The 15213-nt window shown below is 37.9% G+C and overlaps 1 protein-coding gene across 2 annotated transcripts in view; it reads right to left on the reverse strand.

Annotated features, from left to right (window-relative positions):
• CNTNAP3 (contactin associated protein family member 3) overlaps positions 1–15213 on the reverse strand; it is a 223458-nt gene that overhangs the window by 167206 nt on the left and 41039 nt on the right. For both annotated transcript variants that reach the window (NM_001393379.1, NM_033655.5), the window contains exon 3: positions 7078–7271. In NM_001393379.1, the coding sequence (NP_001380308.1) occupies positions 7078–7271 (194 nt within the window). The remainder of the gene's footprint in view (positions 1–7077; positions 7272–15213) is intronic.

Genomic DNA, 15213 nt, shown 5'->3' on the forward strand with positions numbered 1-15213 from the left:
TTGCTTTGCAGGAGGATCATTTATGTGTGTGTATGTGTGTATATATATATATATATAAGTGGGAATGTTTCATAAGGACAAATACACCACTAAGTCTCTCATTCCTTTGCTATTGTAGAAATGGAGTTAGGAAACAAGGTGAAAAAGAGCCCTTTCACAGCCAGAGACTGTTTCTTTACCTTCTTGGAAACTGTAACCCTTACAGGAATTGTGCAAGAATTAAATGTGGGAGTGCTGGAAACCCAGAGCACACAGCCTTATGCACAAAGAGCTCTTCATAAATGGTAGATGGCATTAGCTTCAAGTTTAGAAACAATGTTTTCTTTTTGCTTCCTAGCCAGGAAAAGCCCTTTTGCTTCAAGCGACTAAAGAATGTTCTCTAACTTCCTGAGTGTTGTGTGTGTGTACTTGCCTCTGCTAATGTTTAGTTTGCCTTACAAGGACAATCTGCCTGACTTCGTGTTGGATAAAGGGAAGCTGTACATGAAGATGGAGAGATACAGAAGGAAACAAGCCATGATTTCAGTAACCCAGTGGCCATGACAGCCAGAGGCAGAATGAAGGCCGACTGAAACTAGATATCCGCTGACCACCTCTGGACCCACAGGTGCAGCTGTTTGGAATGACACCACACCTGGCAGCAGGGCTGACGTGTCCTGCAGACCTGCTCTTCCTCTGACTCACTGTGTCGCTGCCCACCACTGGCTCACGGCTTGGTAGCTACCCAGCCACACCCTCAGCCTCCCTTTTCCCTACTGTCGACCAACTGTGTGTCTGGCATGTAACACACACTCAGACTGAGAATGTTTCTGTCTCTGTGCTAACTGCAGTGTCTGCCATCCTTTCCTGCTCTCTCATAGCAGGTACCGAGTCAGTCCAGACAGCTGCTGCCTCTGGGCTCAGTGCTGATGGGCAGATCTCCAACCTCTGACCTTCCTTCTGCCTCCTCCGTTAGTTCCACTCACATTTGCTCCAGTCAGGCCCGGAAAATAAAGATAACAATTAGGAACAAATACACACAGGCCATGGGAGATCTACTAATGCACTTTGTCCACTGCCCCAAAAACGTCCCATGACAGCTGGTGGACACTTTTTTAGATTTCCCAGTTAGAGCGGTTCTACATTTTGGATCTCAAAAATTCTCAACACTGATAAAGACCAGTGAAACAAGAATTCAGTTATAGCAAATTGTATGTTCTTTGTCAGAAAGTTTTAAAAAACAAAGTCCAATAATATTATTCAGAGAACATTTTCTTTCTTTGCATAAAATCTTCCTAGTGAATAGAGACAGACAGGGAAAAAACAAAATTCCATACATGGGAACAAGAAATAACGACTTCCATAAGGAAACACAAAACCAGGGAAGACACAGGCTGGAGGCGGGTGGGGTGGGGAGGGCAGTGGGAGCTGTGTGCGTGCGTGTCTGCGTGTGTGTGTTCTGTGCACATTAGGGGTTAGGTTATCTAGAAGAATTCTATCAGGAAGAGATAATTTACCCAAGAAACGAATTGAGGAAGCTATCTATGCTATAGGGGAAAATTTCAGAGATACTGAATAGCTAGTACAAAGATGGATCTTGCTTGACATTTTTAAAGAGCAGCTAGAAGAACAACATAGCACAAAATATTTGAAGCCACAGATAAGCAGAGAATACGGTCGAAGTTGCTTATTTCTTTTTATCTAAATAAGGTCAGTTCTTTATTGAAAATGACTACATTCATATGGTGCATAAAATATGTGGCAATTTACAGAAAGAATTAAAGAAAATAAAATTCTATAGATTTAAATTGGAAGCCAGTTGCAAAGGCAGAAGCAAGATGGGATGTGAAGCTGTGGCAATGGTCCAGGTAAGAGATGGTGGGCAACTGGGCTGTCATGGTAATAACAGAGGTGAGGGAAAGTTGTCAGACTCCACATATACTCTGAAGCTGTGACTGACATGATCTGTCTAACGACTGAGTTGACAGGATATGCCTATGGATTGATCGTGGAGTGTGAAGGAATGGAAGTCATTGGTAACTCCACGCATATTGGCTCAAGCCAACAACTGGTAAATGCTGTGATATTTACTGAGAGGTGGAAGCCCAGGGGCAATAGGGTTTGGTGATGGGAAGGATATGGAGATAATAAACTTAGTTTTGGACGTGACTATTTGACATCCGAAAGGAAATGGAGTCTGGTGCTCAGAGGGGAACTTGAAACCTATGTCAGGGATGGATAATATCCTGAATATATCTAATCCCAACCAGAAGAAAATTTCACAATGAATTAAAAAGTTCTATATTTCCTTGCAGATTTAATTCTTTATTCTTTCAGAAATAAGTGAAAAATAGACATGAGGGAAAATGGCTTGTCAGTGATTGCTAATCTGGGACTATGGTTAATAGAATGTTATGGTATAATCTCTCAGCATGATTCCAGGACATGGTTAGGTGGATTTCTAAATATCTTTTCTCTCTTTCTGATTCAGAACATTTGTTCTTATTAGGCCACGTGGCTTTTTAAGGCCATTCCTATTACTACTACTATATATATGTATATATATATATACACACACACATGATTATCCCAGAAAATTATCTTTTATCTTCCCTCTTCTGTTGTTTATTCTTTTGACCTTGTTTGAGTAATGGCACCTTTTAAAATGATGTAGCAGATGAGGAGATTATTCACCTCAAGTGAGTCTGTGTCCTGAAACACATTTTGTTAACTGAAAGTATAATACATAATGAAGCTTGTTCTGTTACTCAGAAAAGATTCATGTATTCCTGTTGTAAGTAACAGGGATTCTCTCTTTTCAACGGAGCTTTTACTACTCTGAAGATTCCATAAATCTGGCAGTTACATCTAGTTTTCTTGGGTATTTCTCAACACAAACTCAGTCTAGCCCTTGAAGCGTCAATGTGAAGCATGTAATTAGTAAGAATGTGGATTGATATATTAATCCATTCAGATAATCAAATGTCAGTGATTGATATGACAGCTGTACAATCTCTTATCTAAAGCCTTGGTATCAGATTTGCTTTAGATTCAGATTCATTTCATATATTAGAAAGGTCATACTGTGTATACACCAAATATGAGTGACTAGGTGGTAATCACATATGTTACTATTTTTGCAATAAAACATATGAATATTCACATTAAGCAGAGAAAGTAAAAAATGCAAATAGCCGCAAAGTCAGTACATTCAGATTTTGCTGCTAAATAAATTTGGGTCTGCTTAGGGTTCACCATTTTAAGAATTTTGCTTTTAGAATTAAAAATTGCAGATAAGCAACTGTGGATCTTTAATAATAGAAAACATTAGCATAGGTAATGGGTAAAACCAGACCAAAAAAAACAAAGCCATAAAAAGACAGAGGGAGAGCATACAAGAAATATATAAGACTGGAGAATGCATTTTTAACGTGTCCTTAACATAAAAGTAGAGGCAGCAGGATCCCTAGGAGAGAGCTGGAAATGCATTCTGTTCTCCTGGTACAGGAAGGTTAATACGATGACCCTGAGGGCAGGGGATGTAGCTGTGGTCAGGAAAAGATAATAATAATAAAGATAATAATGTGCTGGGAAAGATAATAAGCCTATAAAAACATAATTTTCATTAATCAAGAGTGTTAATATTTTAGGTATCAAAAATAAATCTTAAGTTATTTTAATATCATCCATTCATTTCTAAAATTAATGCCTTGGTAAAGGGCAGAAACTCTAATAAGAGATGTAATTTATTGTTAAGGCAGCAATGATAAGACTGGAGGACAGTCAATATCAGCCCATCTTTTTAAGAAAATGATAAATAGGAGACAGTCAGTGAAATTTATTTCTACAGAAGTAGCTTTGATAGGAAAAATACTAGACACAAGGGACATGCCTAGTGAAGAATATGATAACTATGACTCAGCTCACATTTCCCAAGAGTATATTACTAACCTCTACCATAATTATTTGCTTATTTACTAAAAGAATGGATTAATGAATAAACAAATGGAGAATATGTCCCTGAGATGTTGATGTAGCAGTTCAAGAAACACGAATCATGATGGTTACCAGTGGCAGGGAAGGGGCGTGGGGGGCTGGGGAGGAGATGGGGATAGTTATTGGGCACAAAAAAATAGTAAGAATGAATAAGACCTAGGATTTGATAGCACAACAAGGTGACTATAGTCAATAATAATTTAATTGTACATTTTAAAGTAACTAAAAGTGTATAATTGGATTGTCTGTAACACAAAGGATAAATACTTGGGATGGATATCCCATTTTATATGATGTGATTATTATGCACTGCATGCCTGTATCAAAGTATCTCATGAATCCCATAAATGTGTACACCTGCTATGCACTCACAAAAAGTAAAAGTTTTTTTAAAAAAAAGAAACTCAAATATCTACATAGGTATTTTATAATCCAAACTTGACAGCCTCTCTCTTTGCAATTTTACAACTTTCAGCAAATTCCCCATATTCTCTCCATCTCAGTCTGAACAGCCATTTCACATCTTACAGCTCACTGTTTTTTGTGTATCTCATCCATTATCCATGGTTTTGTTTGCATTACTTTTGCTTTCTGAAATATCCTCCTGAATTGTTTTCCAACAACCCATGAGGTAACGCTTTCTCCAAGGCCTGCCATTCTCAAGTCTCTTCGGGTCTGTGTCTTATAACTGAACACTCACAAGAACCATCTCTGGTTTGTTTTGTGGGTTCTCTCTTCAGTAGCATTAACATTTTTTTCACCATGCAAATTCTGTATAGTTGGTCATAGAGTAGGAAATGAAGCTATTAAATGGTTACAATTTGCCAGTCACAGTGATGGAGGATGAAGGAGATGCAAAGATAAAGCCCTATCCCCAAAAACCTTTTAGCTCAAAACGATGGAAGGCTGAGTCCTGAACCCTCATAGCACTACATTTCATTGTTTTAGTCCAAAACAAGTCCTAGAGATCTGCAGAGCCAGGAAGGACCATTTTCATTGTGGTTGTTCAAAAAAGGCATCCTGGGAGAGGATGAATTTCCCTCATTCATTCAGGAAACATTTCCTCATGTCCTAGTCCTGTTAGGCACAGTTAGGCTTTAGAGGCTGAGTTAGTTTTCCAGAACTGCTGTAACAAAGTGCCACAAACTAGGTAGCTAAAGTGATGGAGGCCATACGTCCAAGATCAAGGTGTCTGCCGGCCATGCTGCCTCCGGAGGCTCTAGGGAGGGATCTGTTCCATGCCCATCTCCTAGCTGCTGGTGCCTCCGGTGTTCTGTGGCTTGTCCATGCATTATCCCAATCCTCCCTCCTCACAGGGCTGCTTCCCTATGTGTCCTTGCACTGTGTTCCCTGTGTGTATAACTGTCTCTGGGTCCAAAGGTCCTTCTTGATGAGGACACCAGTCATATTAGATTAGGGTCAACCCTCCTGACTACACTTTAACTTGATTACCTCTGTAAAAACCTTATATCCAATTAAGGTCACATTCTGAGGTACTGGGAGTTAGGATTCCAACATATGTTTTTGGGAAACCACAAGTCAACCCAGAATAGAGATGCAGGGATGAAAGGCAGGCACAGTGACTTTGAAAGGAAGCTCACACTGTGAGCGGGCACCAGGAAAGTAAATCACTTGTTCCAGTGAAGCTCAACACGTTCCTACACGAGGTAAGATCATGAGAGTTGACATCTGTCATTTTAAGTGTTCTGGATTAGTAAGAACCTTAACCTTTACGCTCTTTCCCCGCAGGCTAGTAACCTTTCAGAGTAAGCAAAATTGGCAAATGGCATTGCCTTGGCTATGGTTTCCCTCTGAACTGCTTAACTTGATAACAAAAATGCTGACGGTACCTCTGTCATTGATGTATTTTTTTTTAGGAGGAAGAAAGAGCCAAATTACAAATACGATGCAGACTCTATATGAGTCTTCTCTTACAGCATCTCTTTTATAGGGAAACTGTCCACAACATTTTAAACATTATTAATCAATGCAGAGCAAGATTTTAAACAGATACAGGTTACTTTCAAACACTATGTAATAAATACTTATTATTATTATTATTATTATTATTATTGAGACAGAGTTTCTCTCTTTTTTGCCCAGGCTGGAGTGCAATGGTGCGATCTCCGCTCACTGCAATCTCTGCCTCCCGGGTTCAAGTGATTCTCCTACCTCAGCCTCCCAAGTAGCTGCAAAAGTCAAACAAAAAGTGATTACCCTGGCAAAGAGGCACTGACATATAATCAGAAACAGAAATAATGTCACTGTTATGAGGATATTTACAGATTCAGAGAATGTCACAGAGATCTGTAGTCTATGAAAAACTAAATCTGGCCAGGCGCGGTGGCTCACTCCTGTAATCCCAGCACTTTGGGAGGCCAAGATGGGTGGATGACCTGAGGTGAGGAGTTCGAGACCAGCCTGGCCAAAATGGCAAAACCCTGTCTCTACTAAAAATACAAAAAAAAAAAAAAAAAAAAAAAAATTAGCCAAGTGTGGTGGCACACGCCTGTAGTCCCAGCTACTAAGGAGGCTGACGCAGAAGAATTGCTTGAACCTGGGAGGCAGAGGCTGCAGTGAGCCAAGATTGTGCCACTGCACTCTAGCCTGGGTGATAACAGCGAAACTCTGTCTCTTAAAATAAAAAAAAAACAAAAAACAAAAAAAAAAAAAACAAGAAAAACTAAATCTGGCTGCTTAATAAAGGACACACAATTCTTCAAGTTCAAAGTCTGTGTTCCTGTACTTGTCATACACACAGAAACTGCTCATTTATTACATTTTGAAATTTCAGTGTCTTTCAAAAACATCAGATCAAATCAGAGAAAATAAATGAATTCAATCTACCACTCTAAAATAATGCAGAGGCAATGTTAAATTACTTTATTAAGCAAACCAAGAAAAAATAAATTATATATGATTTGTATTATTTTTTAACTTCCACACTATTTAATGGTATAATATAAGATTGTCTTTCAATGCTTTCAATGAAATAGGTATCTTACTTTCACTTAGAACATTTTTTTCTAAGTAATTCTTAAAATTCTGTTTTTCTAATAGGTTTGCAGCAATAGGTAGCAATTATTATTATTAGAAACATACCCAGATGCTTTCTTCTCGGCGATACTGCTTCCAGTTTCTCCCACCATCACTGAACATCAGGAGGTAGCTGGTCACCCAGTCAGAGCTCCCATATCCTCCTTGGGTGGCGACAGCAGTGACCTCCATTCTCTCTCCAAGGTCAATTTGCAGCCATTGGTATTTATTTGACACAAGTGGAGTCCAGCCACCAGCTCCTTTATTGAAACAGAAAAAGTATAAAAATGGTAGAGGAGGAAGTTATTTAAACATAGCTGTTACTAGATTAGAAAACTATAAAATTATGAATATATATTAAGAAAATCATCGATTTACAATAGAAAAAATAGAAGAATTACATGTGACTGGATGAACCCTAAATTGTGTTCACATTTAGCTAGATGACCCCTGACATTCTAGAAGGCAGGTGTCCTACTGACTGCAGAAAATGTTTGTTTAATGCAGGTGGCCACTAGAGCATTCCTGTCAACTTTTGGAACTAGTGTTATTTCATAGCCCTTGTGCAAGATTTGCCCTTTGCCAACCTAAGAGACTAAATTCCAGTAGTAGGAAGTACAGCATTAAGCACTGATAAAACAAAGACGGTTAATATATTGACCTTGCACTCAAAGTGCTTACAGTCTCATAGGAGAAATGGATGTAAAAGAAGAGTTAAAACATAGAGTGCTTTGTGAGGCAATCCCACTTACATGTGGAATTTTAAAAAGCTGAATTCACAGAAGTACAGAGGAGAGTGATGGTTACGAGGAACTGGGGTGTGGAGGAGATATTGGTAAAAAAATACAAAAAGGTATGGAGTAGCAAATGGTCAAGGTGAGTCCTAAGCAGGTTCTGGTGCACTCTGCTCTCTCTGGCAGTACTGCAGGGAAACTGGGGCAAGTCTCACACAGTGCTCATCCACCTTGGACAAGGAAAAGGAGACTGTCGGGTATTGAAGAAGATGCGTGCAGAGCAGAAAATTTGCTTTTTGCTCTGACCAATGCCAAATCTGAAACAAAAACATAGGCATGTCCGCTGATGTTTTATTGATGTTTGTTATTTTTCTAGTCTAATAGAATTAGGGGACACTCGAAAACCACAGCTTCTTTAATAATCAATGTCTAGAAAAAGAGAGTACTCTATAAACAATTCCCAAGCCGAGGAGTCAGAACACTTTTATTATTCCCTGGTGCTGCCACTTACCTGAAGGCTCTGATAGAAAGTCTGAAGTTCTAGACAGTTCATTATTATTCATTGACTTATACTGTGTATTTTATTATTAGGGGTTTATCATTATGTCCTCATTTGTAAAGTCTTTAGTACTTCACTACATGTCCAAAAAAGTTTGATATTATTAGAATATAGCTAGGTGTAAAAACGAATAAGTGAGGACATTATACTTTAATATAAGTTATTATGGGGAAGTGTTGAGAAATATAAATATTTATATTTAAATAATAACAATTCATACTTAAATAATAAATATAAATATTAGGCACCTATTTGAATTGATGACCACACTTAACTACTGTTTCCTTATGATTCCCAAGTTTACAGATTCTTAGAAGTCAGATTCTAAGATATTTTTGTAGTGAATCTTTGTTCAAAAATATTTTTCCTCTGAATGTACAATAAGCACCTCTAAAGTTTATATTATATATATAGTATGTACACAGACATATATATAATTTTTGTTTGTTTTGCTTTTTATTGTTCCATGTTTTGAATTGAAGAGTCAGGAATTTGATCTAGTAGACAAGATGGAAAATTATTGGTAACCAACACTGTGCATCTGATTGACACTAAAATACTCCATTTATTTTCTTAATCCAGACAGCTAGGAGGTGGACACAGCTCTTGTTCAAAGTTAAATGTTCTGCTACAGACCAGGGGCATCCTCCACTCATGCAACATGGTTTCCTAGATCGGGCAATATTTATTCTTGGATGATTTACAGCAATATTTATGTGAGCCCCTGCCAGAGACAGTGCACAGATTTCTTTAGCCCTCAGTAGGAACTACTTCCACAGTTTCTTCTCTCTGCTCATTCCTCCTTCCAACTTAACTTTTCAGGATGTAACAGAATTCCACCTACCCACTTCCATAATCACTCAATTTAACAATGAACACTTATCGAGCATTTGAGAACTCTAGGTCAGGCAAAGAGTTCCCTTTAAATAAATTTTGCATTTAATTCCTAACATACCTTTAAAAGACAAGGCCTCATTACTACCCTCCATATATGGTGGGCAGCTCACCTATGTTTACGCATCTAGCAAGGGGCCCATGAGCTTTGGATCCAGAACCTGTGCAATTAAATATTTCTATTATATTATTTTGATGATAATCATGGGATGTGGTGTTTCTCAAATAAATGTAACAAAGATGTAAAGACGTTTGGGAGTGAGCAGGTCTGGCTACCTAAGGCAGCAGCCCCCATACAGCAGGGCAACCTCTCCTACTCCTGGTCAGGCAAGGTCTGGGTTTCGGAAAGCTGAGGGTGCAGTGCCAATGGGGTTTTCTCTACTGGCCCTTCCTGTTGACTCCACCAGATCTACTCTTCTCTCCTAAGCCTATGTAAACTTTAATTGGTGGGAGATCCTTTTGGGGTTGGTCTAACTAGCAACCAATAGTCCTAGGTACAACACTAATGAAACTGTGTATCCTTTTCTGTTTTTCTTATTACTATTTTATGGGGGTTTTTTTTGTTGTTGTTTTTTTTGTTTGTTTGTTTTGAGATGGAGTCTCACTCTGTCACCAGCCTGGAGTGCAGTGGCGAGATCTCTGCTCACTGCAACCTCCAACTCCAACTGGTTCAAGCAATTCTCCTGCCTCAGCCACCCAAGTAGCCGGGATTACAGGTACGTGCCACCACGCCCAGCTAATTTTTGTATTTTTAGTAGAGAGGGGTTTCACCATGTTGGCCAGGATGGTCTCGGTCTCCTGACCTAGTGATTTGCCCATCTCGGCCTCCCAAAGTGCTGGGATTACAGGCACGAGCCACTGGGCCCAGCCTATTTTATGGCTGTTTTAAAAGAGTTGGGAGAAGGTGAGGGAGATGCTAACAGCCAACCCATCATCTTAGGCTGGATGTTGTACATTGGGAATTTTATACACAGAGCTGAAACTTCTGAGGAACTATTCAATATTTTTGGTTCTTCCCCTCATCTTAGTTAAGGGCATCCTCTTCAGCTTGTATTTCATAACCTTTCTTTGGTGTTTTCACTCCCTCTCATTCCAGGTTTAGAAAAGTAATTACTATGAGAACACATGTGGAGAAGCACAAGGAGGAAAATGAGTTGGCACGGTTCTGGTGTGCTACCCTGGGGTGGTGTGTTTTCATCAGATGAAGAGGGAGCCGCTGGCCATCCCTCTTCTCGGCATCCCTCACAGTTTGTTAGTTTGTTGGTGTTCATGGTTGCACTCCTGGTAACAGATGACACATTTCAGTGACTTCATTTTACCTTTGATGAAGTAGTACTCAAATGCAAATAAGCTATATTTTCAGCCATTACTGATAAAGTAATGAAATTCTGGCATTACCAAAGAATTTCATCAGGATGTTGTAGCCTCAGGAAATCTGCAATCCCAGATGCGTTTTAAGGGTAAGCTGCTGTGCACACAATTTAATTAAACGCTGAGTGGAAATGGTGGGAAACACAGCGTGACTGACCTGTGCACTGCTGGATAGCACTAGTCTGTGTGCCTTTGTTAAAGGCAGCTTTGATGGTTGGTATAGAAGGCCACTATGGGTAACAGAAAGAGAAAGGAGGTTGGCTGACTCCACCCCCAACTAGAGTGTAGTAATTGTCCAGTCACTCAGCCTCTCTGAGACAAAAATGTTGTCCTTTGTTTAAAAAAGAAAAGCATAAAGTTGGGAGTGGGGGGATTAACAGTCATATAAATCACGTCACAAGACTGTAAGGAAGACAATGGGATAACTGAAACTACAGCACTTTGTAACTAAATTATTATTCAAATGTGATGTTATACTCAATTTTTGTTGTCTTTAAATTAAAACAAATGAAAGTCTTCTATTTGTTAAGTCAAGATTATACATGTGCTGACTACTTTTCAACCTGGAAGTGTCTTTTCATAGTCCCTTCTAGTCTATGGTCAACAAAACTTTGTACACAAAACAGGGGAAGCAGTTATGTCCTCTAAGCTCAGCCTCTCCCCCATAACAAATGTTTCTTCTCCACTTCACCCTCCTCCCCCTGCCTCTGACAAGACATTGCACCTGAGTTAAATAAAGTGTCACAATTCTACCCCACAGATCCTATGAATTATGAAAACTCATCCCCTCCATTCATAATATATGTTCTGACACACATGTTCCATTACTGGAATGAGATTAAAATATGCTGAGCAACTGAAACTTTCTCTTACACTTTATATGGCTTGAGGGACAGCAGATGTTATTTTTTAAAGGGTAATTCGTTTTTATAAAGGTTGATATTGGTACCACAGTGAAGATGCTGAGCTGCGCTAACTGTTTTGTCCCTAAATGTTCACACAACATAGGATTTATCTTATGAACCGTTTTATCCACTTTTAAGTTTTCAAGTTCTGAGGAAATTATTAAAGTTTTGCCACTTATTTTGTAATGGAAAACAAGGGAAAAGGGGGAAGTGAGAAACTCTGAAGCATATATTGTATGCTGAGAATTCGACCAGATATTTTCAAGCATATTATCATTTTTTATTTCTAAAAGCATTCAGTGGGTTGTCTTTATCGTATCTACCTTACAGATGAGAAAATAAAATCACTAATTAAAACACATGGAAAGATATTATTTTTAAAATCAGCTTATGTTTCATTTTTATCCCTGTCCATGAATATATTCACATGATTTGTCAATCACTTAGTACTTTTTGGTTATGAATAATCTGGCATGATTATGTCTCTATTTTGTACAGTTATATCTGTTTGTTATAATTCTGCACTTACATCAGGTCAAAGTTACATTTCACTATCTGGGGCAGGGGGCTCTGTGAAAGAAAAGTAGAAACCCTACAGCTGGAGCCTTAATTATTTCTGACTAACAACAATAAAACTTCCCATGACTATAGTATCTAGTCATAAGTGACAGCACTGTCACAGAGTATGTATTGACTTTGTTTACAGGGGAAATAATGCACAGGTAAATCATCATCATCATCATTACAATTATCATCATATCACCATAATCTTATACCTTCCTTAACTAAATTTGATGTTGAAGGCACAAAATATAAGTAAACAAAGTAAATGTTCAAAGCCAGCCACTATTAGGGACTTCTGTATACCAAGCAAACACACAGTTAAGTCAACCTTGTCCCCACGAGACACTTCCCACTAAGATAACAAATTGTTTCAAATGTGATTTTATCCAGATATATTTGTTTCTTTCCTCATCTAATTGCATTTTAATTCACATTAAAAATTTCAGGTATTACCTGGGGTGAGCAGGAGGTGGGAAGTGAGATGTGAGGTAGGGACTGTCACAGCTCCTACACTCCAGTGTGATTATATGTAATTTATAGGGAAGAGGAGTGAAGCTGGCTTTAAATCAACTCCCTCATTCCACTTCTGAGATTTATAGGCTTTAAACAGCCATGCTTTTTGTCAGTAGGTCTGCCTTTTTGCTGAGGGTAATTTAAACATTTACCTGAGATCTAATTTCATTTAGAAAAAAAAGGGCTAACTACACAGATATAGAATCAGGTACTACAGTCTTTTTCAACTATGCTGTTTTAAAGTAAAAAATACAGAAACCCTCCCTCAGAATCTGTCTTTGTGTACATGTTCTATTTCAGCAGTATTTCCTTCAATCTTAGCAGGTTGAAGCAGAAAGAATATTCAGCCTACTAAAAATGTGTTCATAAAAAAAGTACTGCAATTATGGTTAAAATCTCAGAGTGTATATAACAATTTATAAAATGTATTCTCTTACAAAATGCATCTACACTCCCTAGTAGCTTTGAAAATGGACAAAGAATAAACAAAAAACAAATAGTAGATGTTAGACTTAAAATTAATCATATAATCATATTAAAGGCAAGTAGTACAAACACTCCTATTAAATGGCAATGATGGTCAGATTAGATGAGAAAGCAAGATCCAACTATATGTTGCCTACAAGAAACACACTTTAAATAAAAAAGGCTCAAATAGCCTAAGTGTAAACACATGGAAAAATATATATTATGCCAATAATAGTTTTTAAAAAAGCTGGATTGGCTATATTAAAGTAGATTTCAGTGCAAAAATTATTATAAAAGGTAAAGAAAATTATTTCGTAATGATTAAGATGTTCTTTCATCATAGGACATAATCCTAAACATGCAAACACTTAATAACAGAGCTTCAAAATACATGAAATGAAACCTAGTAAAACTGAATGAAATAGATAAATCCACAATGACAGTAGGAGATTCTAGCACCCCGTCTCGGTAACTGATTGCACAAGAAGACAGAAAATAGGGATTCAGAAGTATTAATTATCACTATCAACCTATATGATTCATTGATATTTATGGAATGTTTCACCTAACAGAAGAACATGTATTCTTTTTCAAGTTCATTTGGAACTTTTACCAAAATAGACCATTAAACGAGTCATTAAACAAGTTTCAACAAAGTTAAAATCATTTAAGTCATGTAAAGTATATCTTTGTGATATACAATAGATTAAAATAAGAAATCAACAATAGCAACTTCTCTGAAAAATCCAGGAATATTAGGAAACTAATAACACATACTTCATAATCAATGAATCAAAGAAGAAACTAAAAGGGAAATTAGCAAGTATTTCAAGCTGAATGAAAATGAAAATACAACTTATCAAAATCTATGGGCTGGAACTTCTGGCTTCTGCCCCAGGAAGTAGAAAGCTATAAGGAGCCTCATTTCCACTCTTACAACCAACTTCAAGTTCATGATCTTTTACAAATGCATTGGAGAGTTGAGCTTGCAGAACCACCACCTAGCCTAAAATCTAAAGAGATATGAACCTCACAGGGAGAGATGTGAGCAGGATCTCACCTTACATAGATGAAACCAGAGGTCAGTAAGAAAAGTTCAGCTGGAATAGTTAACAAAATGGTGAAACCTACTGTGCAGGCTGGTGGGACAGTGAGAAATCCTTTATCACCCCAGAAGTTGGGGGAGTGTTCCCTCTTGCAGGCACTTGCTCCACTGGCCATTGGCAGAAACTCACATGCACTCCACTGAGAACTCTACTTGGCCCTCACAGAAAATATCAGAAAGAGCCCTAAAGGTTAAATGACTCAGCCTATAACCTCCGTTATCTCCACCACATCTTGATTTTTGGGTAGGTGTAGTTCCATTCATCTTGGTAACTAACTGCATAATTCAATAAAACCATCATTGTGCATTTTTTCATACATCCAATAAATTATCTGATGAGACATATAATCTCAAATTATCACTTGAGCAGGCAAAGAAGCCATTATCTTCACTTGGTGAGTAGAAACAATTAGGCAAAAGTGATGGGTGATGTGCAAACGGGGCATATGAGGAGAGGGCTGGAATGGAGTCAGGGCACCCTGAGGCTGACTGCACGCCTCTCATTGTGTTCCATTTCCCACAGATAGTGTGTTTACCTTCTTCAGGGAGTGATTAAACACGTGTATTTGTCTTTCTTATTAAATGACAATTGATATCATGCAAGGAAACACGAGAGTGAAATGCTGAGAAGTGAATATTTTAGTGAATACCAAATTATCCATCTGTATGTGATTGATTGCTCAGTCAACCAAAATCCCCTAGCCCACCCCCTAAAAAAAAAAGAGATGGTAATATTTACATTTTTCCTAAGGATATTATGTAGTTAAACTAATTATAGTTTATGAAATTGCTGTGAAAGCCTCGTATGAAAAGAGACATGCATTTGTTATTGCATGTAATAGGACACTATCAAAATATGATGCAAAAGGAATGTCCTCTAAACATTACAATAATGTTTATTTTAAGTTGCTATTAACAGAGAAATTTTTTTAGAGGCAAGCACACATCGGGTACAATGTGGGGCATCAGAATTCTGCTAAAGTTTGTCCCACTGAATTCTTTGGAAAAAATATGACAACCTAAAAAAATCCAGTTGGCAAAAATTAATGTGAAAGAAAATAGGTGAATCTGCACCATGTCCTACAGAAG

Source organism: Homo sapiens, chromosome 9 (genome assembly GCF_000001405.40).
Source record: "Homo sapiens chromosome 9, GRCh38.p14 Primary Assembly".
In the NCBI taxonomy this organism is placed as follows: Eukaryota; Metazoa; Chordata; class Mammalia; order Primates; family Hominidae; genus Homo; species Homo sapiens.